The sequence below is a fragment of the Homo sapiens genome, chromosome 16 (genome assembly GCF_000001405.40).
Source record: "Homo sapiens chromosome 16, GRCh38.p14 Primary Assembly".
NCBI lineage: Eukaryota > Metazoa > Chordata > Mammalia > Primates > Hominidae > Homo > Homo sapiens.
In genome coordinates, this window is record NC_000016.10 from 59,753,908 (window position 1) to 59,756,699 (window position 2,792).

Below are 2,792 nucleotides of genomic sequence, written 5' to 3' on the forward strand. Positions count from 1 at the left end.
ACACACATGAACTCTTCAGTTTAAATCGAGTGGTCTAAGTAAGGGTTAAGCCACTCTGTTGATAGGGGTTTCGGGCAAGTCACTGGACAACCCTGGGCATCATTGTAGAGAATATTCATTTACCCTATGTGTGTTTTTAGTCTGTTCAGCAGCCATTCCACCTTCCTTCAGCACCTCACTTTATTCTTTGGGAACTACAGAAATCTTGAATTGCCTATGCTTTTTTTTTTTTTTTAATTTGGGTTTTAATTATGTAAATAAATAGCAACATGAAAACGAGGAGTTCTAAGGTTTGTACATTATCCCTAGGTGAAAGGATTTCAGATTAGTTTGCGTGTAGGATGGTACCACCCAAGATAACAGAGGTCTGATCTAGTATTTCCTGAAGAAGAAAGCCAATTTAATACATTCAATACTGACTTCTCTGACATTTTTCTGTAGAAATACTGATTTACTCTGTGGAGTTTCCAATGTGTACCTATAACTGATTAAGTTGTAGGTAACTTAATATAGGTAACTTAAATAAGTTAAGATGGGCAGATCATGGAGTTTTCTACTTAGTTCCAGGTGAATTCTTCACATTTCCTGGCTTTTGAAAGTTCTCCTTCCACAAATCTTAAACTCCAGTCATATAATCTCTCCCCACTGACCTGGGCAAACACGATGGTTTGTTGTGGATAATACAGGGAGGCAGCTAATCTCATGAAACCAGGCAGATACACTAGCTTCTTCATTTTTGAACCTCTAGTCAAAAGGAGTCCAATAAGGCCAGCAAAACCAATAACACCAAGTCTCGGAAAAAATCCAGGAGGTGCATTTTGGAGATAGTCATAGCTGTCTAACCCCCACTGAACCAAACTTTGCATCTTGGGCTTACTTTGGGAGTACGTGTCCTGACACCAGCTTGTGTATGGCTCGCAATAAGTGTCGGAGCTGTGAGAAGCTTTCTTCAAGCTGGTTCCTTGACTCCTCCACACACTGCGATTTGCCCTCGCGAAAGCTCGTCAACCTTCACGGAAGTTTTGGGAGGTGAGTCCTTTTTCGGTGCTGCACAGACTCTGAAGGTGAACAAGCTCCGGCTGGCTGGCCCCACGGACCCTTCTGAATTACCTTGAACATGTCGCTGGCAACTGCAGCTCCGGCAGGCTCACCCCAGCCTCGTCCACGCCCACAACAGAGAGGTGGCCCCGGTAGGGCCTTGATTTCTCCAACCGTAAGCGAGCCGCGGTGTGGGTGACTGCAGTAGGGCAAACTCGGTGCGGTGAAGGCTTGGTTCAATCACCCCTGCCTGTGCTCTTGATGGAACCTTCAATTCAGGTATCCTGCCCTCCTCTCTGGCACACAGTGTTAATTGTTGCCACAAGCTAAGTCCACCAGTCTCTCCCTACAGGGAAATGAAGTCCTGAGCGAAGTGACACAAATATGGAAAAGGTTTAGAACTGATTTATTCTGGTAGTCATCCCCAAAGCACTATCCATTTGTCCTGGTTACTACACCTCCAAAATTCCAATGTCCGAATTTTCCAATGTTTGTATTCTCTTTCCAATATCTGATTGTTTACGTTCTCCTTCAGTTCTATGGAGCTGCCTATGAACCTTCCACTAACACCCATTTTTAAGTTAATTGCAGTGGTCTCTGTTGCTTGCAACCAAAAACAAACCTAACTGATATATCGTACATGTGAAACTGTAACTAATATATTGTACATGTAAAATGGGAATAATTATACTTCGCTCACAAAGGTGGTGTCAGTTTTTTTTTTTTTTGTTTTGTTTTTTTGAGATGGAGTGTTGCTCTTTTTGCCCAGGCTGGAGTGCAGTGGCACCATCTTGGCTCACAGCAACCTCCGCCTCCTGGGTTCAAGTGATTCTCCTGCCTCAGCCTCCTGAGTAGCGGGGATTACAGGTATGCGCCACTACGCCTGGCTAATTTTGTATTTTTAGTAGAGATGGGGTTTCTCCATGTTGGTCAGGCTGGTCTCGAACTCCTGACCTTAGGTGATCCGCCCGCCTCGGCCTCCCAAAGTGCTGGGATTACAGGCATGAGCCACCGCACCCGGCCCAGTTTTTTTTAATATATAAAAATAATGTATATTAAAACTACTGGCTTGGATAATAAAACTTAAGAGGAACCCAGTCAGTATTGTTTGCTTGGTTTTTAAGATCCTTCCTATGTAGTCTCATCTTTATTCCTGGATTCTGCTGAGATGCTCAATGGATCCATGAGTCACATGCTTAATCTCCTCAAAGAACTCTCTGGGCGAGAACCTACGCACACCTTTTGGTCTTTCTGAGACACTGGGTAATAGTTGTTTAACCACACCCTTGACTTTCTGTTCAGAACACACTTTCCTAAGAATGAATCTTCTCGTTTTAGCTTCTTTTGCAAAATGAATAGGCAGAGAATTTCCCAAATCATGAAATCCTGGTTTTTGTTTAATAGTCTTCCTCAATTTATCTCCCTCCTCTTGCATTTTATTATAAGCAGCAAAAAGAAATCTGACCGTACTTTCAACATGTTGCCTAAAATATTCAGAAAAACAACCAAGTTATTTGCTTACAAGTTATGCTTCCACATAATTGTAGGACACAATTCAGCTAGGCTTTCTGTCACTATATTACAAGGGTCCCTCTCCTTCAGCTCCCCAAATCAAGCTCCTTATTTTTTTCTGAGCCCTCAGCAGCAAAGCCTTTAATGTGCATATTTCTACCAACATTCTGTTGATGATAACATACATATACTCTAAGATGATAGAGAGTTTCTCTCCTGTTCTCTTAACTTACTCCTGAGCC

General features: G+C 42.7%; 1 pseudogene across 1 annotated transcript; it reads right to left on the reverse strand.

The window, feature by feature from the left end:
* Positions 1–224: 224 nt before the first annotated feature.
* On the reverse strand, positions 225–1,284 carry APOOP5 (apolipoprotein O pseudogene 5; annotated as a pseudogene). Its single transcript, NR_028471.1, has one exon. The product of NR_028471.1 is annotated as an apolipoprotein O pseudogene 5 (transcript).
* Positions 1,285–2,792: the final 1,508 nt, after the last annotated feature.